This window comes from Homo sapiens, chromosome 22 (genome assembly GCF_000001405.40).
Source record: "Homo sapiens chromosome 22, GRCh38.p14 Primary Assembly".
NCBI lineage: Eukaryota > Metazoa > Chordata > Mammalia > Primates > Hominidae > Homo > Homo sapiens.
In genome coordinates, this window is record NC_000022.11 from 27,502,376 (window position 1) to 27,527,855 (window position 25,480).

The 25,480-nt window shown below is 48.9% G+C and overlaps 1 long non-coding RNA gene across 1 annotated transcript in view; it reads right to left on the minus strand.

The window, feature by feature from the left end:
* Positions 1-2,543: 2,543 nt before the first annotated feature.
* LOC105372981 (uncharacterized) overlaps positions 2,544-25,480 on the minus strand; it is a 56,572-nt gene continuing 33,635 nt past the window's right edge. The window contains exons 2-6 of the long non-coding RNA XR_938124.2: positions 6,374-6,570; positions 5,435-5,594; positions 4,799-4,910; positions 3,336-3,465; positions 2,544-2,828 (exon numbers count right to left, since the gene is read on the minus strand). This is a non-coding gene — a long non-coding RNA (uncharacterized LOC105372981). The remainder of the gene's footprint in view (positions 2,829-3,335; positions 3,466-4,798; positions 4,911-5,434; positions 5,595-6,373; positions 6,571-25,480) is intronic.

Sequence of the window (25,480 nt, forward strand, 5' to 3'; positions counted from 1 at the left end):
TGATAAAAGCATCCCCTGGTCAATACCACTGGGCAACTCAGCACTCTTAATCCCCTCTGGGAATCCCAGAGTTTATTAGCATATTAAAGGCTCTGAAAAGGTCTGTAAGAAAGAGATCTGATTAACTTTGTGAAGACCAGAAGGGCATTAGTGCTCCATAGGACCTGTCGTGTGACATAGCCCCTCATAGAGCTGTGATCTCTTCAGCGTGCTCACCATTTCAAAGGGTCACAGGCCCCCGGAGGCCCATCTCAGCCCTGAGTTAGGAACCTACCTCTTTCATCTGCTAATCTGACAATAGTTATGAAGCCTGTTTCTGGGACAGGCATGGTGTGAGCACCAGGGACACAGTGATGACCTGACAGGTGTATGTCCCCTGCCCTGCTTTGTAGAGACCACACCTAATGGCCCCTTTCTGTAGGTTTGCTCTCACCTCCAACTCCAGCCCTTCCAATCGCACAGCATTAATGCACACATAAAGGACTTGTCAGCCCAAAGCAGGCACTGGTGTTCTCTCCCAGAAGAGCCAGGTTCTATCCTGGCTCTATCCTGAACACACTGTGAGACATCCAGTTTACATTTAGCCATCATATATCTGCTGGGCAGCTACTATGTCCAGGCACTGAGCTCAGTGCTAGGGACAAAGGCAAGAAGAGGAGAGACTCCAAGAGCTGGCTCTGGCCATCATGGAACCTGCAGCAGAAAAGAGAGACAGAAAATAATAATAATAGTAAGGAACAGCAAGGACCAAAACACAAAATAATTAAGTTGTTCTTGGGTTTTTGTTTTGTTTTGTTTTTTGAGACGGAGTCTCACTCTTGTTACCCAGGTTGGAGTGCAATGGTGCAATCTCGGCTCACTGCAACCTCCACCTCCCAGGTTCAAGTGATTTTCCTGCCTTATCTGCCAGAGTAGCTGAGATTACACCATGCCCACCTAATTTTTTTGTATTTTTAGTAGAGACAGGGTTTCCCCATGTTGGCCAGGCTGGTCTCAAACTCCTAACCTCAGGTGATCTGCCCGCCTCAGCCTCCCAAAGTGCTGGGATTATAGGCATCAGCCACTGAACCCGGCCTGTTCTTGTTTTTATTTTAACTTTTATGAAGCACATAAACAAGAGATTGAAATACAGAATGTAATAGACTGAGAAACTTAACTTTTGAAGGGATGGTCAAAGAAGGTCTAAGGAGGTGGCATTTATACTGAGACCTAAAAGGCAGGAAGAAAAACATGACAAAAGCTGTCCAGATGGAAAGCACTATATGGGCAAAGGCCCTGAGAGAGGGAAGAGCAATAATTATAGAGGAGAAGGACAGGAGATGAGATTGGAGAGGTCAGAAGGGCCCGAATCATGCAAGGGCTTATAGACAACATGTATCAGTTAGCTTTGCTGCATAAGAAACAATCCCAAAACTTGATGGTGTGTAACAGCTATCATCTATTATTATAGCTCACACTTCTAGGGGTCAGTAGTTGGCTTGGGGAGTATTCTTCTCTATGTTTGGCTTGGCTGGAGCATTTTAGCTGGAGCAAATTTGCCCCTAGCTTTCTCATCCTCTCCTGGGATTGAAAGCTAGCCTGGGCATGTCCTTCTTATAGCCATGGCAGAATCTCAAGAGAGTGGAAGCCACAAGGCCACTGGAGGTCTTGACTGGAACTGACACATTGATACTTCTGCTTCATTCTAGTGACAAAGTCACATGGCCACCTTCAGGAGCAGGCAATTCCATCCCAACCACAGTAGGAGAGCACAGCAAGAGAGAGGGAGAGGTGGTGGCTTAGACAAGGATGGCGATCATGATGAGTAGAAAAGTAGATTAATTCTGGAGACATTTAGGGGGCAGAAACAACAGGAATGTTGATGATGGGTTGGACCAAAGAAGTGGGGAAAAGGGTAGACTCAAGTTAGGCTTCTCAATGTCTTCCAGAGTGAGGGGTTGGATGGTGAGGGTATTGGAGGCAGGAGAAAATAGGTGTGGGGCTGACCACAGCCCACTCTGGCCCCCAGCTTCCTCATCTGAACCATAAGAAGATAGGGAAGGGCCTCCCGGGCTAGCCTATGCCCCTCTTCACCCCCAACCCCAGACAGAGCCCAAGCTGCCTGCCAACTGTGGCCTCCACGGTGTACAGGGAAGACCAGCCAGGCCTGCTGTGATATATGACCCCCATAGCTCACAGCCGGGCTGCCGCTGGGATGATGTGTTGTTGCCATCCATCACCAGCCTGACAGGCACCCAGTGCCAGAATTCGGCAGCTGCCCTTCACCGGGACACTTAATTATAAAGGTCTGAAATTTTTCCCCACTGGCCTGGGAAATAAAGGCTTTGTTTACCAATGGCAAGTTGGGAGGCTCCCAGGAGAGGGCCAATATATCAGAGCAGCCTGGCAGACACAGCGCAAATCCTGATGGGGTGGTGGAGGGGTGGGGGCTTCCGAGGAGCTGTCACCTCGACCCCCCTGGCCGCTCCCCAGCCCTGCTCTCCAACGCTGCACGAGAATATTGATTCCCGAAGCTCTATGCCATCGTCTCACCTGTGCCATGTTTGAGTTTGCTGAAAGCCCACTCCATTGCTGCAAAGCCCCCGGATCCACTCTCTGGACCTCTCCTCTGGGTTTGCCAGAAAACTCGCAGGACATCATCTCTGTCAGGACCCATGTGAGCAGAGTCACTGGGGAAGTGGGTCATGGATCACAAGGGAAACCAGCGGACTCAGCAGTACTTGGAAGAAGCCATTCAATGTCACTACTCAAAAGAATCTGAGTTCATCCAGCCACGTGGTTCTCAAAAGTGTGGTCCCTGGACCATCAGCAACAGCATCTCCCTGGAACTTGTCAGAAATGCACACTCTTGGGCCCCATCCCTGACCTAATGAATCAGCAATTCATTGCTGGGGGTGAGCCCGGTGATCTGTGTTGTAACGAGCCCTCCAGAACTTTCTGATGTGCACCCAAGCTTGAGAACCACTGACTAGTTCACTCACAGCCTCCTTTTGTGCTTCTGGGTTACCAAAGCTCCAGAGAAGGGGGCATGGCTTGCCCAGGTGACCCAGAAAGCAGAAACAGCTGCGACATTGGACCCAGGTACCAACACTCTCTAGGTTTCTGTGTGCAATCCTGGGATGGTGGTTAAGTCTCTCCAAGCCTCTGTTTTCTCTTCTGTAAAATGGGGTTAAGAGTGCTAACCATGTAACTTGGGATCAGGGTTGAGTGAGGAAAAGCCTGGCGCACAGAAGATGCTGGACACAGATGGGCCTTTACTGGGTCTTCCTGCAGTGGGATGTGGACATTCCCTCCCATCTAGACAGAGGGGCCTCCCTGGCATGACCAGGACCTACCTGCTGCAGGCAGGGGATCAGTCCTTGGCTGAGGCTCAGCTCAAAGCCAGGGCAAAAACCCATGCCAGCTGGCATCTGAAAGATTCCCAAGCAAAGGTGTCTTCTTTCCACTCATTCTCCAGCCTTACTCCTAGGATACAGGAATTGGAAGGGCAAAAGAATGGCAGGGGTAGAAAGGGGGCTTCAATTGAGAGAAGAGGGCTCTCAGAAGCACAGAGGCCAGAAATGAGAAGGCAGCCCAGGCGCATCTCAGTGACGTCCACAGATGTATCTGGAGCCCTCACATTCGTGGCTTAAGGCAAGGCAGGGCTGGGCAGGTTTATCCTCACATGCACCATCTCTTTGAATCCTGAGATTTTTTTTTTTTTTTTTGAGACAGAATCTTGTTCTATCACCCAGGCTGGAGTGCAGTGACACAATCTCGGCTCACTGCAACCTCTGCCTCCTGGGTTCAAGCAATTCTCCTGCCTCAGCCTCCTGAGTAGCTGGGATTACAGGCGCCCGCCACCAGGCCCGGCTAATTATTGTATTTTTAGTAGAGACAGGGTTTCACCATGTTGGCCAGGCTGGTCTCCATCTCCTGACCTCGTGATCCACCCACCTCGGCCTCCCAAAGTGCTGGGATTACAGGCATGAGCCACCGCACCCGGCCTGAGATCTTAAGGTAAAGGGCAGAGTCCCGCAGTCCATCAGTGCCAAAGTCAGGACTCAAACCCAGGTCTGTCTGGCTCCTCTACCTTCAGGGTTCTAACAAAGTGTTGGAGTTAGAGAAGGGCAGATCTCCTCCTGGGAGAAGGAAAGTGCTCCTGGTGCAGGCCAACCCTGGATCAGGTGCTTCAGGGGGAGGGAGGCAGGTGAAGCATGGGCAGCCTCTCATCAGAGTTTCATCTCTGCCAGGTGACCAGATCCAAGAAATATCCTCTTCCAGATCTAGTCTCCTCGGGGACGGTGGGGAGACTGTGGTCAGAGTGGGTCAGAGAGGGCTCTGTAAACCACCAAGTGTGATGCACAGGTTACTGTGGAAGGACCGTCCCATGGGCAGCCTTCAGGGGCTAAGTCTTTCTCTGGGATTTGGTTTCCCAACTTGTACAACCAGAGGATTGGACAAAGTGATCCTGCAGTCTCCTCCTCTGCATCCCTGAGTCCTTTTGTAAGATGACCACAAATGACATTGGTCTACAGGGTCCAGGCACACAGCAGGTGCCTACTAAGTGCAGAAGTGCTCAGGGAGTGACTGCCCCAAGCCACATAGTGGCGCAGGATCGAAACCCAGGCTTCCCAACCCCCAGCACCTATCTCCTTTCTCCTTCCCCCTGCCACCACCCCCCAGAAATGATATCTGCAACTTGGCTTTTGGTTCCTGGTCACCAGGGAACCTACTCTCTAGTGGCAATTGGTTTATTGAGCACAGAAAGGTCAGCTCCCTCATTGTCCAGCTAAGGAAGTGGCTGCAAAACACCAACCTTTCATCGACTGCAGGATCTTAGTAATTGGCATTGTTAATCTGCCCCGGCTTCTGCTTCCCAGGCTTGGGAAAGACCTAGCCAACTCTCCCAGAAGCTCCTCAGAGTGGGGCTGAAAGGAACAAACAGCATTTTGGCCAGCAGCCCCACTCCAGCAAACCAGGTTATTCTCTTGGCAGTCATCTCCTCCAAACCTAAATGGGGATACCCAATCTGATTGCTGGAGAGAGGAGTGGGACTGAGGGCTGGGGCTAGCACAGTGTCTGGGGCATGGTAAACATTTAACTAATCTTTTCCAAAAGGGGCTAGGAAGGAAAGGAGGGAGGGGGTGATCTTGGGGACTTTTATTAGTCAGACACTTGGTATGCACATTACAGAAAACCCAATTTGAACTGGCCTAAGCCAAAATCTTTTTTAAAAACATAGGACAGGGAGGGGCTATAAGAACATTTGATGGGGTGGGAGTGGTTGATGGAACTGTCTGATATTCCAATTTGTGGTAGTGGTTATATGACTATATGTGTTTGTCAAAATACATGAAACTATACACTGAAGAATGTGGATTTTACCATGAGTAGATTATACCTCAATAAACCTAACCCTCATCCAATAAAAAAGAAAAATATATTAACTTACATGTTGAAGTCTAGATATGCTGCTTTCAGGCAAGGCTTGGTCCAGCAGCTCAAACAATGTCTCCAAAGTCCCAATTTCTCTGTTTCCTCACTCTGCCTTCTCTGGTGCTTGTTTCTCTCTCACTTCCCTCTGAGGCATCCAGCAAGCTTCAAGGTGTCTCCTATAAGGAACACAGAAGCTCCAGAGTCTCTTGACCTGGTAACAATTTGACCGTATCTATCACAGAGATTATATCTTTACTTCTCACTCTTAAGTAGAAGAAAGAGGAAGCGTCTCTTTTCTAGAAATCCCAGCAGATGCCTTCTTGCATCTCCTTGGCTTGTGATGGGCTCTCATGGTCTAGCCTTGAACCAATCACTACGACTTGACAGTGGAAAATGATGACTGGTATAAGCCAATCAGGGCACTCCCTGCAGTGGAGAGTGAGTTCCACTCTCACTCTAACCCCAACCCCAGGGCTAAGAATAAGAGAGGGGTGATGCATCCCAAAGCAACAAATTAGTCAGAGAGGAGGGGGGAAAAGACAAATGCCCATTACAGCTTCCCTTGGAAATTTCCCAACCTGTTACTCATGGAAGTTCCTACTCTTCTTTTTGGCTTCTTCAAATACTATCATGCTATAGAGAATCTTCCCAGCCCCACTGTCCCCAAGCGTTTTGAATGCACTCAACCACACTTCATCAATTGATTGCTTACTACTCAGAGAAGCCAGCATCCAGGCCCCATCCAGCAGGGCTGGAGCTCTTTGCACAGCAGCACCTGCTGCTGGCACAAAACTAGCCACCCCCCTACACACACACACACACACGCACACACACACACACACCCTCCTGGCTGTCCCCGACCTTGTTCCAAGGGCCTGTGAGATGTGTCAGCTGCCCCAAGGGAAGAAGATGGCTTGTGGGTGAGGGACAGGGGAGGCACACAGTGGAAACATACCTTGTACCCTGCTCCAGAGAATCATACAGTAACCTGCAGAAAAACTGAGTCACAGAGTCCTGAAAGATATACAGCAAGACATGGTGGTATTCCTGGCCTTGAATCACAGACTCCTGGCTTCTTGTCTGCACCACACAACCACTGGCTCTGTGTTTCTGAGCAAGTCAACTTACTCTTCTGAGCTTTGGAGTCTTTACCTGCAAAATAAGATTTGATGATGTTCCCCAGTGGGCTGGTTGCAAACCAGATCAGAATGGGAATGGCCAGTGATGATGGATACCTAGCCTAATCATTGACAATATATCACTCATCACATTTCAGGAATGTGTCACGTTGGTGATCCATGCTTCTTTCACTGTCTTGATTTGGATTTTCCCAAAAGCTGGCCCCCAGATGAACAGCAGTTTACTCGGAATGTGCAGAAAGCCCTTGCTGAAGAGTGGGAAAAGGAGATAAGGAAGAAGCCAGCCATACAGGATGCATTATCTATGGCAATTACCACCATGGGCAACTAGGGCTCAATTCCACTGGGGAACATTGGGAGATTCTGCAGAATATACATCTCAATGTTATTCCACCTGAGTGGGGAGGGAGCTGGGGTATTGATACAACAACTCCATCTGTTAGCAGTTGAGGGCTTCCTGGGAGTGTTAATTCCCAGCCTCTCTCTGCCTACCACTCACAAGGACCAAACAAACTCTGGTGACCAGAAAAACCCTCAGACAAAGAGCATTTGGTGTTGGCCATTGGAATGGGCCAGGTGCACATAGAAACATTTTGTGCTGAGAGCAATGTGGGTGAAGCACTAAAATACATGCCACATCCTCCTCCCTTCTCCACCTGGAGAAACACTTTATCTTCTTCAAGACTTAGCTCAGAGTATAATTTCCTCTGTGAAACCTTCTGCTAATCTCCCAAGGAGAATGGGAATTTGCTTTCTTGCAGCAACTTTATCTTGTCTCTATCACAAACATTGCTTCCATTCATTTGCTGGACATTCCCTCAAAGGCAGCTGGGTGCCAGGCACTGTACGGCTCTCTGATCTCACTGCACTATAACTGTTTTTTTTTTTTTTTACGTGCCTGTGAGCACTAGATCATGAGTTCTCTGCAGGTGGGACTATGTCAGATTCATTTTTGCATCTCCAGCTCCTAGCACATAGTAAGCACTCCGTGTTGGCTGATTTACACTTCAAAGTAAAAGTAATCCAATAATACATGAAAAGCACTTGACTTGGAACAAGACCTGCCACAATAAAAGTCCTGAAGAAAATTGTAGTTAATGTTGTGTGGATACAAACTGTGTGGGTCCCTCTTGAACATATCACAACCCTAATCTATTCTGGAAGGCACCCACTTCACCCCAGGTGCTCCAAACAACAGAGCTTGAATTCCCTTGGGAGCCCCCGGCACAAGGGCCACCCAAAATTAGACCTGCCCCTGCTGGTGCTTAAAATTAGAAGGAGTTTGCATTCCAAGATGCCAACAGGTGCGAGCAATAGTTCATGGACCAAAATAAATTGGTGACACACTAGGGCTTAAAATTAGATGAACCCTCTTGGTTCAAACTGTTGTCCATGGCGGGTGGTTGTCTTGGGTAAAGGATAGAGAGGAGGATGCTCAAACTACTCAAAGCCTGAACTCAGGAGATGAAAGGAATCCACATGGACTGAAAATGTATCTGGTGCCAGGCCCTGTGCCGGCAGTCTGGATTAAATTATGCAGCTGGATGTGCACAGTGGTGCTGGAAAACAGTGCTGTCCTTATTATCATCATACGTTGCCAATGACAAAACAGCTTCATGCCAGGGACTTGTCCAAAGGCACCCAGCTAGCAGGAGACAGAGCAGGGTTTGAAATCCCACCTCTCACTGGCTGCCCCAGGCTTGTTTCAGGGTGCCAGACTACCCACCACCCCTACTTCCCTAAGTAGCCTTTGTCTGGGTGGATCATGTGTCCTGGCCCTGAACACACTGATTGGACAAAGCAATGGTTGTGTGCCCTAGTGCAAACCACTCATTAGCCAGGGACTTACAGGTGGAAAGAAGTAACTGAACCAATCAGATGTCACCTGGAGGAATGTGCACTAGGCAACTGTCCTAAGAGAAAGGGATGCAGTAGGCTCTACTGAGGAAAGCGAGAGGTGGGGCAGCAGCCCAGAGCAACACGGTCACATAATGACTTCAGCAAATACTAAGGAGCAGACGGGCATATTACACTGTATCCTCAACTCATCCCTGGGAATTTTACCCCCTTTTATAGATGAAAGCAGCTGGGTATTGGTGAGGTCACCAAGCAACCCCACAGAGAGGTGAAGACAAGGTTTCAGATTCCAAAGTCTTCCAGTCTACTGTAGGAACTTAGGGGTGTGTGTATATTCACGTGTGTGCACAGATATGGGAGAGGGCATGCGCGTGTGAGTGGCTGTGTGTGTGCCCATTGTGTATGTGTGCATGGATGTGGGTGTCACACAGGAAGGATGCGAGAATGGGAGATTCAGAGCAGGTTTGGTCCTCAAGGTGGCTGCAATGGGTGCCCCACACTTCAAGCCACCAGTAACTCTGTGATCCTCTTCACATTTCCCCTGTTTTCCAACAATGGGGCCACATCAGCCCCACCAGGGCTCTACTGGAAATTGTTGTTGATACCTAGACAGAAAGGGCTTTTCACTGTCCAGACCCCCATGGGCTGGTTGCTCTCCCAGGATCAGCACGAGGACTTTCTGTGAGCTCTGGAAAAAAGTAGACTGCACTTAAGAGAAAACTTCCCAAAGGAGTAGATTTTAAGTCTGCTTCAGTTGAACGCCATTGATCTCTTTCTCTAAAAGACCCTAAACAGTGAGAGAGTCCTATTCAGAGGTTCTGATCAAGGCTGGGTAAGGCTCTGCCCCCACCAGCCCTCTGTGTGCTACCGAACACAGGCATCAAGCTTTGGAAGAAGCCACTTCAAGACAAATTCTGGGTCCTCCACCTGGAGCCAGCTCAAACCTCCCTGAACCTGTTTCTCCATCAGTAACATGGCGAATATTCCTCCTTCATAGGTTGTTCCAAAGAAGTTAAAACTATAAAGTCAGAGATCAGTAATAGTCAGTTTCTTTGAGCATCTTGCATAATGACATAAAATAAAACTGTACTAAGTGTCAGGAACATTGGGTTCCACTTTTTTGCCTTGCCGTTGACATACTCCATGATTTGGGGCAAGTCCTTGTCCTCTCTGGACCATATTGTTCTCTGTTCTATAATTAAAGTGTTAGCCCTGATTAATGGATTCATTCTTACTATGTACTGAGTCTTGGACTCAACATGGTAGGTGTAGATGTGAATATGACAAAGAAGGTCCCTGTGGCATCTGGGAAGGCTTTACCCAGACACCTTAGGAAACTACTATTGGTGACTGACCTTTGGAAGAAGAGGCACGTAAGCTAACTCCTTTTTTTCTTTCTTGGGAGGTTGCAAGAGTAAAGAGCATGTTCAAGGAAAGAAGGAGTCCCTCTCCAGGGTTCTCCTAGGTCTGTTTGTTGATTGGCTCGTTGAGTACGTAACCCACATGTACACACACACATCTGCATGGGCATGCATAGACATGCGACGCACACACCTACCAGAAGGCAGGGTTCAACAGGCCCAGCAGCGGCGTCTTGGGGAAAAGGACTGATTCGAGAGAAAACAGGAAGCAACTCCAAGTGTTCAAGCCTCCCTCTGCAACCCCGTTCCTTTTCCACACATTATGAAAATGAGATTGGACGGTGGAGGGTAGAGAGGTGCGTAATGCTCCTGCTATTTCCTGACGTCCTTCCCAGTGCCTCAGAGGCCCAGATCGAGTGGAATTATCTCCTCCCCTGGCTGGGAGGGAGCTAGCTTAGAGCCAAAAACACCAAGATATGGAGAAGAAGCCTGAAGGACTATACAAACAAGCTAGGCTCGTGGCTTCAGGCCAAGAGGAACTGAGCCAACAACCCTCCCCTGTCCCAGTGCAAACCCAGATGTTGGCTGGCCCCCCCGCTATTGGCCACAGAGGTGATGGGGGTCCCACTTCAGGATCTGAGCCCTGCTTGAGTAAGACTGACAGGGGGCTGGTGTGTGAATCTGGAGAGAAACAGGGGACTGGGTGCCTTCCTTTCTTTCTCTCTCTCTCTCTCTCTCTCTCTCTCTCTCTCTCTCTCTCTCTCTCTTCCCAGTCTCTGCCTCATCATCTTGTCACCTGTATGTATCTCTCTCTTTCTCTTTGCAGTGTCAGCCCAGTCTTTTTCTCTGGAACAAGTAGGGTGAAGCTGGCAGGATGTCTGAAAAATCCAACCTGACCAAAAACTTGCTATGAAACCCAAATTAACATAAGACACCCTGTTCTGTCTATCACACTGATAAAAATGGAAACATCAATAATATTCTTCATTAACAAAGGTAGAGCAAACAGGCTGTCTCAAAAATTATTAGTGGGAGTAAAAACCAGTATTAAATGTGCACGCTCCTGACCAAGCAATACTACTGGCACAAACTCAACGTGCACAAAGATGTATGAGGAAGTATAAGAATACAATGGTATTGTTTATACACCATTGTTTGTCATAATGAAATCTGCCAATAATGCAAGAATGATGTAAAGGGGACTGGTTAAATAAGTCAAGGTGTCACCATACTATGGAATATTATGCAGATATGTAAAAGAATGAGCTAGGTCTACATGTCAGGCATGGAAAGACATCCATGAACAAAGAAAGTCACATAAAGGTTTAGCTGGGGTAGCTTAGGCTATGCTTAATAACAAGTATGTCTGAACACCTCAGTGGCTTACTACAAAAAGGTTCATTTCTTGCTCAAACAAAGTCTAATGGAAGCCTGGTCACTCTCCAGGGTAGCTGTGCTCCATGCTGTGACTCAGTGATCCAATCTGAGTCCATCTCATGGCTCTACTATCTCAATACTATCTCGGCATCCTGTTCACTATAGAGGGAAGAGAATGCAGAAAGAACTCACACCTGATCATGCATGCACCACCCTTTGCTGGGAAGTCACATGCCCTCTGCCTAATTACAAGGAGACAGGAAAATTGGGAGGAGTAAGTTGATTTTAAGTGAGCCATAAAAAGGCAAATGTAAGAATTATCCCCACTTTACATATGGAAAAATGAAGTCTCAGACAGACCACCACTCACTGCAGTGAATGTTTTTACCTCCCTAGCATCCATCCACCTCTTCTTCAGCCGAGGGTATCATTATATCCCTTCAGAAAGACCTGTTCTAATCTCACCCACACAGAATATGTGGGTCATAATTGCCTTAGGTTAGTTGCTTCCACAATTCTCTCAGTCATAGTGACTGGTTCTGGGAGGTACTATAGTTCAGTCAGAGCCAATGAAACCAATGGATACTCTCATGGGAGTTCTGTGTAAGCATCTGGATCAATCCATTCCTGAAGCTAATACCAACCACTTCGGCCAATATATTATTACTCCCTTACTCACCCATCCCCATTTTTTTTTGTGTTGATTTTTGTTTGCTTTGTTTGTTCCTAAGCCTCTTAGGGCCTAGAGTTTTTATCAGGACTTAATCCCAGGTCTTCCAGATTCCAATGCCCACTCTTAACCAGCATATACGATACCCTGTCTTAGATGAGGCAGCAGAAGGGACCTTACATATTTTCTGGTCCAAACCCTTTTATTTTACAAATGAGATTGAGACCCAGGGAAGTCAAGTGACTCCCCTGAGGCCACACAGCAAGCCCATCTCAGAGCCTGCATTGCCATCCACAGACCCCTGCTCTTGCCACAAAACTTCCACTCAAATTTACCTGACCTAAGCCCCTTGTGTCTCTGAGGCCCTGGGGATGTCAGCATCATTTCTGATGTAAACAGATGATGACCAAGGCCCACCCTGATACGTCTGGCTGTGAACTCTGTTCCAAGCTATCGGTTGCCAATAACAGTTCAAGTGCTGACATTTTAGAATGACTTAGTTTCTTTTTCATTTCATTTAGTGTGGATTCTAATGACATCATCCTCACTCAGTCACCTTCTGATGGGTTTTGTCCAGTGAAGAGAAAGCCAGAGATTTGCGGGTGGCCTTCTGCAGGAATTGCATGTCCAACCACTTGAGGTCTCCAAGTCTCATTTTCCTTCCCTATAAAATGGCGAAAATGATAGCAAACACCTCGCAGGATGTTGTCAGAATTAAATGAAATCTCACATGGCAGAGCCAAGCACAGAATGCAGTGCAAACAGTATTGTGTAAACTCCAGTTAGCATCTTCTTCAACATCCCCCGATGGGGCCCAGCAATGTCATGAATTCTCTGGGCCCTAACAAAGTTCTCTCCACTCTGAGCCTCAGTTTCCCCAAGGGCAAAGTGAGACCGAGACACTCTAAGGACCTTCCAGCCCTAACAGCTGGACAGCCAGCTGGAGAATAGCATTGAGCTGATTGCTACAATTCCCTGGATACCTGCAGGGTGCCAGGTCTGTGTCAGGGCCCCTCCCTCTATGAGCTCACCAGCCCTTGTGGGGGTAGATACTTTTCCCCCAATTTGCTGAGGAGGAAATTGAGGCCAAAGAGACCCAGGGAGACTTGCACTGGCTGTCCAGATCCAACATTCCTGGACACTTTCCTAAGCAAGCAAGTTAGACTTTATTCCTAGTTTCAACAAGCTCTACGGCATGTTTTTTATGTTTCCTTTGAAGGAGAGGCCACAGCTGACGGATGGGGAAACCCAAGTCCAGAGTGTTTGATGGATTTGACCAAAGCCACCCAGCCATAGGCAAGAGGTGCAGAGTTGGAGCCCAGGGCATGTGATTCCCAACAAATTATTCTTTCCACCAGACCACATGATTCTTTTGGATTGAGGCCTTTTCTGCTCTTTCCAAACAGAAGACATCAAGTTGTTTTCAGAGGCAAGGAAAACTTTGCTCCATATTTTGAGATCAGGAGGTGAGAAGAACTTGAGTCTGAACTCTCTTCTTATAGTTTCTTAAACTTAGGTAACTACTACTGGTGACTGACTTTTGGAATCGCTCAAACTGGCCCCAGGATGATTCCTGGGGAAGAAATGTCGGTGTGATAGACCCAAAGAGGCCAAGGTTTGGAAAAGAATAGATCTAGTGTCTGCCTCTCAATTATAATTGTGTGGCCTTGGGCAAGATACCTTACCTCTCTGAACCTCGGTCTTTTCATGTGTACTATGGAGATAATAACAGTTGGCTGTGACATTACTACATGGCTAGAAAAAAGTAAAATTGATCTGCACGAACTGATAAGGATTATTAAATCTCTGATGTGTTATTAAGTAGAAAAGTAATATTGCAGGACACTGTGGTGTGATCGTGTTTGTGGATGTGCCTTCCTCTCCCTCATCCTCCACTCTTGTGGCAGACAGCAGGAATGGCCCCAATTCTCCAGCATTCACCCCAGCATCCATGCCCTTGGCCATGGGACCTACAGTGCCCTTCCACTCTGACCTTAGAGTGTCCTCTCACAAGGTTCAACCATATGACTTGCTTTGGCGAATGAGATGTTAACAAACATGATGCTTGTGTATTTCACTTACACTTTCTGCTCTTCCATGATTGCCATGAGAACGTGACCTGGGCAGCCTTTTGGAAGATGATTGACAAGGGGGTTCAGATGAGTTGTCCCCAGCTGAGGCCATCCTAGATCAACCAACAGCCAGGCCAACCCCTGGAAATGTAAGCCAGCCCAGCCAAGAGCAGAAGAACCATCTAAGCAAACCCAGTCTAAATCATCAACCTGCAGACTCATAAGTGAAATAAATGCCGTGAATTGACACCATGACATTTTGGGGTGGTTTGTTAACATGGCATCATTGTGTCAACAGGTGACTGACACACCCCTCACCTCATCCTGTTAATTCCACCTTCCAAGTATGTCTGAACCTTTTTGTTTACCTCCTCTCCTTCTCCGCTCTCCTCTCGTTTCCCACCACCACTGTATTCTAAGCCACCAATTTCTCTCTCCTGGATTTCTGCAAGAGCCTCCTGACAGGTCATTCCCCTACAGATTATTGGCCCCTCCAATAAATCCAAGGTTGCTCCAGTCATCAACCTTACAGAAACATTTGGGGCATATGACCTTTTGTGTTTCTAAGTGTGTGAAGTGGAAATACTCAAAGGTAAAATTCAAAATGCTCTACCATCAGTATAAGTGGACACCAAGAAGACAACAGACAGCCAAGTATGGTAGTCCAAGAATTCCAATGTCAGCCCAACATAGCTGTCATGAGGATTAAATAAACACAAGTTCTACCCACTAGGAGGAAGTGGCAACTAAATAAACAGCTGGAAGGAACTTTGAAATTAGAGTCCAGTGTCCTCATTTTAGATACAAGGAAACTGAGGCACAGAGAGAAAAAGCAACCTGTCCAGAGTCACACAGTGACCAGGAACCTGTAGGGGAAGGAAGGAGGCCAGTGTCATGAGGCAGTGTTCTCCCAGTTCTTATCGCTGGTGTATTCTAGCACCCACCACATGGTTTGGCTCACATTTGTTGATAAATGAACCAAGGATCTAGACACTTCCTAACTCTTGCCGCATCCCTCTCCAAACCCCTTCCCACACACACTTGCCTCCAACCTGAACAAGGGGGATGGTTCTCCCACAGCCAGCAGAAAAGAGGTCTGGAGTCACCCTTCTGTGTATTCACTTGATCAGTAAATCTGGGCTCCACATGTACCTCGGGCAGAGCTGCTAAGAAGCCCCAGCAACACCAGGAAGAATCCACAATGGGGGGTGGGGGTTGCTGTAGGAGCTACAAGCCATTCAGACCACCCCAGGCTTGTGCCTTGGCTCAAATGGCTGCGTCTTACTGTGCCTCTCTTTGCCCGTCTGTGAAATGGGTATAACAGGCCCTATCACACAAGAGGCAAATGATAAATATTAGCCCTTCTCGTTGCAGCACCAGGGCCTTGGTCACCTTCTTTCATTTTGTTAATTTTGTTTTCATTTTGCTAATTTTTTTAAATGTGGATATAAACCAAAAAAATGGCCTTTGAGGGATCCCCTCAAGGAAGGTATCTAAAAGGAGAACCTAAGAACCACCTTTCCCCATGGGTGTTTACAGGTTGGGGGACCCCTTCCTGCTGCCTAACCTTAACAGCCACTGTGAAATACATTTTTTCCGCTCAAATATTCACTGTGCAGGATGAACTCTGGCCAGATGTGGAAAAAAGTAACTCGGGGGTGGTGGCTCAGCCCCAACAGAAGGAAAATGGAGCCAAGGCCTGATGCCTCTGGGTTTTCAGCTGGTGGCCACATGGTATCCAGGCCACACAGCAGAGTGGAGAAGAAGGTGGGTTCGAAACCAGCCCCCATGCCCAGCCCACAGCAGGGATCCCAGGAGCCAAAGGTGCTGAGGTTTGAATTCCAGTTCAGCCACCTACTGTCTGACTACAAGCAAGTCCCTGTTCCTGTCTGAGCCTCAGTTTCTCTGTCCTGTTGGGGGTATGGCAGCTGGCTGGGTCCTGGTGGAGGATAAGAGAGAAAATGACCTGAGTTTGAGCATAGGAGTCTATTGAGGTGCACGTGTGTGTGCACACGCACGTGTGTGGATGTGTGTGTGAGCATGCACACCCCTTGCAGAGTGTCCAGTAGGTGTGACTATCTGAGCAAGTGTAAGAGCCAGGGCTGGAACCAAGGGGAGGCCTGCAAGGTGCCCGGGATGCATGCTTTATGGAGGCATCCAGTCCCAGTCCTGGTGGGGGTTCTTGTTTCCATCACTCCAACATCCCCTGGATGAACCAGGTAGGAAAAATAAGCCGTAAGCTCCCCAGTCTGGCTACCACCTCCCAAGCCCCCTCCCTCCCTAGCCAGCCTCCAGCAGCCTTCCAGGCAAGAAGGAGTTAACTGGATGCCCTTCCAAAGCAAATAGGGCCCGGAGCACAGCCAGCCCAGAACTCAAAACACATGAGAAGAGGGAAACCCCTTCCCCCATTTTCTCCCCCATCCCCTCCCCTACTCCAGGGCTGCTTTTGTGCGGTTCCTCCCACACACCCTGCCCTTTTTCCCTCCTGCCTCTGGCTACCACTAGCAAGTCCCACGGATTTTTCCTACTCCCTCCCTCCTTATCTCCATCTCTTGTGTCCCCAGTCTGCTCCTGCCTAGGATACAAGCAATCGGGCTACCAGCTGACCTGTACTCTGTTGCTCCCTGGCCTTCCCCAGTCCTAGACCCCCAGGCTGTGCAGGGGAGCCCTGCCTAGAGAGCCTCCTCTGTCACACACTGTTGTGGGAGCCCGGAGCCCTGTCAACACCTCTGCTGCCTCCATTGCCTCTGAAGGTGAAGACGCGCGTGAAATGCACACGATGAACCACCCACTTACTCTTAGGCGGAGAAGGACCCTTCCCTGGGGAGATCTGTGGCAGAGACAAGGCTGACAGCAGCAATATCTAGGCCTGCGTCCTCTGTATGGGTGACACATAGCCCCTATCTGGGGCTGCAGTCCTCCTGGAAAATGAAGTTGCAGCTGCCAGGCCTTCTCAGGGCAACCGTAAGGCTGGAAGGAGACCAAGGGTGTGAACGCTTCACACACTGCATGGGCAGCCCACATCGCGGTGTTGATTCTCAGCATCACCGTGCCTCTACCAACCAGCTTTCTCACTCCAGTGAGATGTGCTAAGAAGTAGAGGGGCATATGGCTCTTAGAATTCCTGCCCCTGTGAAACAAGGGCAGACTGGCACTGATGGTTGAGCGTTTTTGGTGTTTTTTGTTTGTTTGTTTTTTGAGACAAATCTTGCTCTGTCACCCAGGCTGGAGTCCAGTGGTGTAATCTCAGCTCACTGCAACCTCCGCCTCCCGGGTTCAAGTGATTCTTGTGCCTCAGCCTCCCGAGTAGCTGGGACCACAGGCATGCAGCACCACGCCCAGCTAATTTTTATATTTTTAGTAGAGACAGGGTTTCGCAGTGTTCGCCAGGCTGGTCTCGAACTCCTGACCTCAGGTGATCCACCCGCCTCAGCCTCCCAAAGTGCTGGGATTAGAGGGGTGAGCCACCAAGCCCGGCCTACGTTTTTACTAAAAATAAGATTATGAATATTTTATTGATCCCTGCACTTGCACCTTGTGCTATGCCCATTCTATAAATTATTTCATTTAATCTACATGCCAGTCCTGAAAGGTGGGTAGTACTGTCTCCATTTTATAGATGAGGAAACTGAGGTGTCTGGTGGTATTTATCTTCCAAGAAGAGAAAGGTTTACATTCTCTCTACCAAACTCATCATTTAACAGTTGCCCAAAAAGGAAAAAAAAATCACTTTTAAGAGTCAGAGAATCTTCTAGTCTACACTGGGACCAGGGAAGGGGTGACCTGGGGGTGCCCAGAACAGCCCACCCACCCAGGTAACCCAGAAGCCAAAGTCATTTATTTCCTTATTCATAAAAGTGTTTTTAAAATGATTTGTGCAGCTGGGCATGGTGGCTCACACCCGTAATCTGAGCACTTTGGGAGGCCAAGGCAGGAGGACTGTCTGAGGCCAGGAGTTCAAGACCAGCCTGGGCAACATAACAAGACCCTGTCTCTATAAAAAGTGGAAAAAATGATATGTGTTTGCAATGCTTTATATACATCATGCGCAAGGCAGTTTGTCACCCTCAAAGCCACCTGCAAGAAAGATCCGACCTGCCCATTTTACAGATGAGGGAGCTGAGACCCAGAGCAGGGAAAAGACCTGCTTGGGGTCACAGCCAGTTAATCAGATCCAGGCAGGGCCCTCAGTTTCCTGACTCCCAGGCTGGGATTCTAGGGTTCAGCATAGTCTGTCTAGGTCTGCAACAATGGATCACAACCTCAGCACCCCCTGGAAGGGTTATTTCTGGTTTTTTTTGTTTTTGTTTTTTTGAGACAGGGTCTTGCTGTCACCCAGGCTGGAGTGCAGTGGCATGATATCAGCTCACTGCAACCTCTGCCTCCTGGGCTCAAGTGATCCTCCTGCCTCAGCCTCTCAAGTAGCTGAGACTACAGTCTCGTCCCACCATGCTGGGCTAATTTTTTGAATTTTTGGAGAGTCAGGGTTTTACCATGTTGCCCAGGCTGGTCTCGAATTCCTAGGCTCAAGCATCTGCCCACCGCAGCCTCCAAAAATGCTGGGATTACAGGCATGAGCCACCATGCCCAGCCATCCCTGGGAGGATTTCTTATGACACAGATGACTGCTGGACCCCAGGCTCAGAGTTTCTGATTCAGAAGGTGTAGGTGGACCCAATAATCTGTATTTCTAACAAATTCTCAGGTGATGTTGATGCTGCTGATCCACAGCCTCCACTGTGAGAATCAGTGATTATCATGAGGGACCTGTCAGGCATTTTCAAGCTATTAAAAAAATTTTTTTTTAAGATATTTCAGGTAGGGCTGGCAGCACCTCAAGTGTCATTCCATGCAATCACCTGAGTCCTCCCATTCTGCAGCTGGGAAAACTGAGGTCCCAAGATAGAATGTGCAAGAACCAGACATTGCGAAGGCTATGCCTGGACCCCGGGGCAGAACAGGCTGCATAATCTGCCAGGCCACATGCAAAACCAAAATGCAGGGCTCCTCATTTTTAAATGTGTTAAGAATTTTGGCCGAGCGCGGTGGCTCACGCCTGTAATCCCAGCACTTTGGGAGGCCGAGGCAGGTGGGTCACGAGGTCAGTAAATTGAGACCAGTGTGGCCAACATGGTGAATCTCGTCTCTACTGAAAATACAAACATTAGCTGGGCATGGTGGCAGGTGCCTGTAAGTCCCAGCTACTCGGGAGGCTGAGGCAGGAGAACTGCTTGAACCCGGGAAGCAGAGGTTGCAGTGAGCTGAGATCATTCCACTGCACTCCAGCCTGGGCAACAGAGCGAGACTCTGTCTCAAAAAAAAAAAAAAAATTTTAAGATGGTAACAATAGAGCATTCAACAAACATGGCGCCCTTCTCAGCTCAAGGCCTTGTTCAATTGCAGAGGTCCCAAGGCCATGAAGCCAGCCCTGCCCCCAGGTCTCCTGGCTGCATCCTATACTGAGGCCACAGTTGATAGTCTGGAGCCACAGTGGGGGTCACATGGGTGAACCCCAGCTCCCCAGACGAAGCTGGCTTCCTGGGGAGCAGCCTAAGCCATTTATCCTCCAGGTGACAAGACCAACGAGGCCACCTGCACTGAATTTCAATTTGTTTTCTTTAAGTAGAATGGCACCTTGGGAAGCTGGTGTCGGCAGAAATACAACCCCTGAAGAATTCGACCTGCCTTAGCCCGGCTCTCATGGGCCCCCACCAAGCCCCTTCATCCTCCCCCTGTCACCCCAGCCTGCGTCCTATTCTTTTTTTTTGGAGACAGAGTCTCACTCTGTCACCCAGGCTGGAGTGTGCAGTGCCGTGATCTTGGCTCACTGCAACCTCTGCCTCCCAGGCTCAAGCAATTCTCCCACCTCAGCCTCCCGAGTAGCTGGGACTACAGGCGCACGACACCACACCTGGCTACTTTGTGTATTTTAAGTAGAGACGGGTTTCACCATGTTGGCCAAGCTGGTCTCGAATTCCTGACCTCAGGTGATCTGCCCACCTCGGCCTCCCAAAGTGCTGGGATTACAGGCATGAGTCACAGTGCCCGAACCTGCATCCTATTCTTAAGCGTTTTAGGAAGGTTTGTAAAGATGAAGCAGGAACCAGCTGGGCAAGAAGAGGAAGGAGAACATGATTTTTTAAGCTGCAGACCAGGGAGGTATACCACTGAGGAGCCACTGAAAATGGGGCAAGCTTTAGGGAATAAGTTGAGGATGGAGTGATGCTTACAGCAAAACCTCCTCGCCCTACACAAAGCAAGTCCCGTGGGGACTCGGGAAGGGAGGAAGGGCCTCCCAGGAGTGGAGACCCTCCCTATTGCCTCCCTGGGACCCCACCTGATCCCCAGGTGCCACCAGATTCTTCCTTCCACAAGGAGACACCTTGGTGGCCAGACTCCGGCAACAGAGAGAACAACATGCCAGGTCATGGGGCTGGAACCCCTGAGTGAGACCAGTGAGAAAGATTTCTAGGGGAAGGTGAGTGGAGTTCCCGCCTTGTCTCCAGTGACTTCAAAGGGAGAGGAAGAAAACCAACTGCCAACAAGATGCCTTGGAGAACTCCATTTAGGTCACTGTACAATGTGTGCGTGTGCCTGGTGTGTCTGATGTGTGTGTGTGTGTGTGTGTGTGTGTGAGAGAGAGAGAGAGAGAGAGGGAGAGAGAGAGACAACAGTCTGTTGACAATGGTTATCTGGAGAAGGAGGTGGGAGAGAGGCTGACCTTTGATTTTTGTTTTGTTAGAGACAGAGTCTCACTGTGTTGCCCAGGCTGGAGTGCGGTGGCATAACCATAGCTCACTGCAGCGTCAACCTCTCCAGCTCCAGGTGATCCTCCCACCTTAGCCTCCTGAGTAGCTGGGACTACAGGCACACGCTACCATGCCTGGCTAAATTTTTTATTTTTTGTAGAGACGGGGTCTCACTTTGTTGCCCAGGCTGGTCTCAAACTCCTGGCCTCAAGTGATCCTCCTGCCTTAGCCTCTCAAAGCACTGGGATTATAGGCATGAGCCACCATGTCCAGACAAAAAACTTTTTTAAACATGAAAGCAATGCTTGGTGCACCACTCAGGAAGTCTGCTTAGCGGTGCCTGCTGAAGCCAGACATGCCCCTGCCATGGGAGCCAGCAACCCTGCTCCTAGGCAAACACCCAACATAAAGTGTGTGTGGGCACCAGAGACCCACGGGAGGATGTTAGCAGGACCACTCTTCCTACTAGCCCTAAATCAGACACTACCCAGGTGCCTATCAATAGGCAAATGAATATACGGACTATGGAAGATTCACAGAAGGCAAAACTCCTTGGCAAGGAAAAAGAACGAACTGTTGATACTCACAGCTATGTGGATGAATCTTGTGGATACAGTGTGAGCAAAAGAAGCTGGACGTGAAAGAACTCGCACTCCTTGAGTCCTTCAGGGGAAATTCAAAAACTGGCACTGTTAGAAGTCCGGCTAGAGATTCCATCTGGTGGGCAGGGGGTGGGGGTGCCAAAAACAAAACAAGGAGAACAGTTGTCATAGATGGCGTATTTTTGAGTGTCCCCTGTGAGCCAGGCAGCATCTTAAGCACTCAATGTGCAATGCATCCTCATCCATTTACATACCCATTTCACAGATGAAGAAACAGAGGCTCGGAAAGGTGAAGTTCTTTTCTAGAGATCCAACAAAGAGCTAAGCGACAGAGGTTGTGGTCTGGATGCAGTTCTGCTTGGTTCCAGGGTCTGTGTTCCAAAGTATGTGGGGACTTCCAAAGTATGTAGGGACTTCATCTAAGACTTATGACAGCCTCAAAATGGGACTTGGACCCCGGACCCTTCTGAAACCAAAGTCCCCCACAGTCTTAATGCCTACCCCTCTAAGTTAAGGTGTGGAAAATGCTTAGCACACAGCAAGAGTTCACCTATGTTGGTTATGATAATCAATAATAATACTAGGGGGCCTTGTCTAGCAAAAAGTATAGGAAGAGGGAGAGCACAGCTTCCCTAGGGGAGCAGACTTGTGACCCCCACGGTAAACCCAGCAGTGCAGGGGGACAGGTCAGAGGCCCGTTGCTCAGGAGGCTGCAAGCCAAGGAGGAATTTCCTACACCCGAGTCCTGACTCCTAGGGCATGCTGTCCTACAGCCCCCAGGCCCTGGTCCTTGGCAGATTTTATTGATCAACTGGAGCAAACTGCATGGTCCACGCCAGGGCTGGCCTGCATGGAAGGAGCCGGAGCATGTGCTTAGACAACCCTGGATGGAGCAGCTGGGGAACCAGGGAGGTAGGTTCTGAGCTATTCCTCTGTGAAATGTGCGTTAAAAATACGTCTGTATCTATCAGAGGCCTGAGGTCAGGCTCCAAGGACAATGTGTATTCCCTGCATGATAGGATGTCCCTTGCAATTTCAGAAATGAAAATTGAGAATGCCTTAATTACCTCTCTTGGGGCAGACAGGAGCGAGCTGCCCCGTGTCCCCTTCCAAGGCTGGCTTCTCACACTGGCTGAGGCCATCCCAGGCTGGCAGAGCTAGAAATTGCCTCAATTTCATCTACTCCAATACCTCCATCCTACAGATGGGGACACTGAGGCCCAGAAGGGGAAACGGGCTTACCCAAGGTCAAAGAGTGAGAGGTGGATGCAGAACAAGAATTCAAACCCAGGTTTCTGGACTCCCAGGCAAGATTCTCGCTCAACACCCCATCTCTTGACTAAAGTACTCATTCTCTAAAGGAGGTCTTTGAACCACTCGTTCATTTCACAAATATTTATCAAGTACCTACTATAGACCAGGCTTTATGTTAGAAATTAGGGAAACCACAGAAAGCAATTCCAGGCATGTCTCTACCCTTGGAGAGGTTACAGTCTAAGGTGGTGGAGTTCCCAGACCTGCTGGCCACTCTTGTAAACTCATTCCCAGTCACCTTGGCATTTAATAGAATTTCAGGGGCTCTTACTGATGCCAGGCACGGTGTCAAGACTGGGGAATGCAAAGAGGAAGCAGGCATAGTTTAAGGTCCCAGAAAATCCAGTAGCTTGGATAGCGCACCTACACAATCACAAACTGAAGGAAATTCATGATGGAAGGTAAAATAGACAGAGAGGGTGTCACAGAACCCAGGAAGGTTAACAAGGGCTTCTCGGAAAATGTGGCCTTTGGTGTGGATGTTGAGACTATGAAGATTTTAGGGCTGGGCACTGTGGCTCATGCCTGTAATCCCAGCACTTTGGGAGGCCGAGGTGGGCGGATCACTTGAGGTCAGTTGTTCAAGACCCGCCTGGCCAACATGGCAAAACCCCCTCTCTACTAAAAGTACAAAAATTCAGCCGGGTGTTGTAGCGCATGCCTGTAATCCCAGCTACTTGGGAGGCTAAGGCAGGAGAATCGCTTGAACCCAGGAGGCAGAGGTTGCAGTGAGCCAAGATTGCACCACTGCACTCCAGCCTGGGCTACACGGAGTGAGACTCTGTCTCAAAAATAAATAAATAAATAAAGATTTTGGAAGGGAGGTGATAGAGGGATAGGGCATTCCAAGTGGGAGAAATGGTTATGAGCGAAGGAAGGTGCAGAGGTGAGACCATGAACATTCTGTTCAGGAAATAGCAAATAGCCTCACTAGTTGGCACAATGGATAGAAGCCAGAATAGTAGCTTAGGGTTATATCATAGAAGGAGGTCAAAGTCAAACAAGGAGGTTATTCTTTAATCTGTAATGTAAGGGGAGAATGGTTGGAAATTTAGGTTCCTCCTCTCTACCCGAGACCTATTAACCCAGTATGCCTAGGACCAGTCTGGCCATTCCTCAAAAAGTGCAATATAGAGTTACCACATGACCCAGCAATTTCACTTCAGGTATTTATCCAAGAGAAGTGAAAACACTTTTCCACACAAAAACTTGCCCACGAGAGCTCACAGCGGCAGTCTTCATTCTAGCCAAAAAGTGAAAACACCCCAAATGTCCATCAACAGAGGAGTGGATAAACAAAATGTGGTCTATGTGTGCAATGGAATATTATTCAGCCATGTAAAGGAATGAAGTTCTGATCCGTGCTACAACATGGATGTTTCAAGGATGAACCTTGAAAACATGGTGCTAAGAGAAAGAAGCCCATCACAGAAGGCCACATATTGTATGATGCATTTATAGGGAGTGTCTAAAACAGGTAAATCTATAGAGACAGAGACTAAATTAGCAGTAGCTAGGGAAGGACTGGGGTGGGGGTTGGTAGCAATGGCTAAGGGTTTAAATAGGGTGGTTCAGGGAGGTCTCCAGGGGAAGGTAATATTGAAGCCAAGACATGCAGCAGGTGGGGCTCTGGCCTTTTGCTTTCCAGAGAAACAACTCAGACTCATGGCCAGCGGGCAGAAGGCAATGAGTGGAAGCTACTGATTTATTGATCCTGTCGTGTCTAGGTTTTCCTCCATACTCTTCCCACCAACAGCAGGAGAAGTCAGACAGAAATGCTCACCTCTTATAAAGAGGAAACTGAGGTCCAACGAGGGTTGCTTGTCTACTATCACACAGCAACTTACTAGTCCATGTGGGGCTCGGGCATAGGGGTCTTCCCGCTCCATTCCAGCTGGTGAGGCAGGCAGGGGCAACCTGCAACACCCCCCAAATCTCAGGACACAGCAAAGGGAAAATGCCCCCCCTCCCCACCCACTGCCACTGCCACAGCCGCCTGCCTCAGGTGTGCCTTCAGGAGTGTCCACGGAAAACACCCCCGGGGCAGCTCTGCAGACCACCAGCCCCCACCCCGCCCCACAGGCATGCACAGGACCAGCCCATGATCTCACGGAGGCTCTTGCCAAAGCAATTGAAATTGTTCAGGGCTTGGCGAGCGCCTGCTGGCGAGGCTGCGGGTGGGAGGACCTGGTGGGGGCCGGGGGGTGGATACTGGGGAAGGGGATGGGGAGCAACAAAGCCTTCCTCCTTAGAGACAGTTTGTTCTCTCAACAGCTGTTAGAAATTTGAGGTTTTTCCATGCTCCAGGCTCAGAAAGGAAAGGGGGGAGACAGCTCTAGGGACACATGCTTGCCAATGCCTGTGTCCTGGGAAGGAGGATGTGCACCTACCAATCACCTACTTTGTGCAACCACCGTTGGCCATGCACCCGCTTCACCAGCCCTGTGGGCAAGCAGCAGGCTCTAGCTGGGCATCCAATGGGTTCTCAATAGTGTTGAATTCACGACTCCACCACTGAAATCCTGCAAGCAACTTTGCCACTCCTAGCCTCAGCTTCCTCATCTATAAAACAGGCATGGTAATCACCCCCTTCTTCACAGGGCGACTGGGAGAGAGTCATCAGTGTCAAGCACTTAGCACGTGTGCAGTCAATGCAATTTATAGTAATTACTTCTGTATATGAGATTGTAATTGTAATTGTTACAGCAGCACTGTGAGATTGAGAGGACTATCTTCCTTTTCAAATCAACAGTTAAGGTCCCAGGGAGGTTAAATGACTTTTCCACGTTCCCACGGCCACAGGAGCAGCTACGTGATTTGTGGGGCCCAGCGCAGAATAAAAACATGGAGACTTTTGTTCAAAAATTATCAAGAATTGCAAGGTGACAACAGCCGAGCATTAGGTCAAGCGTGGGGCCCGA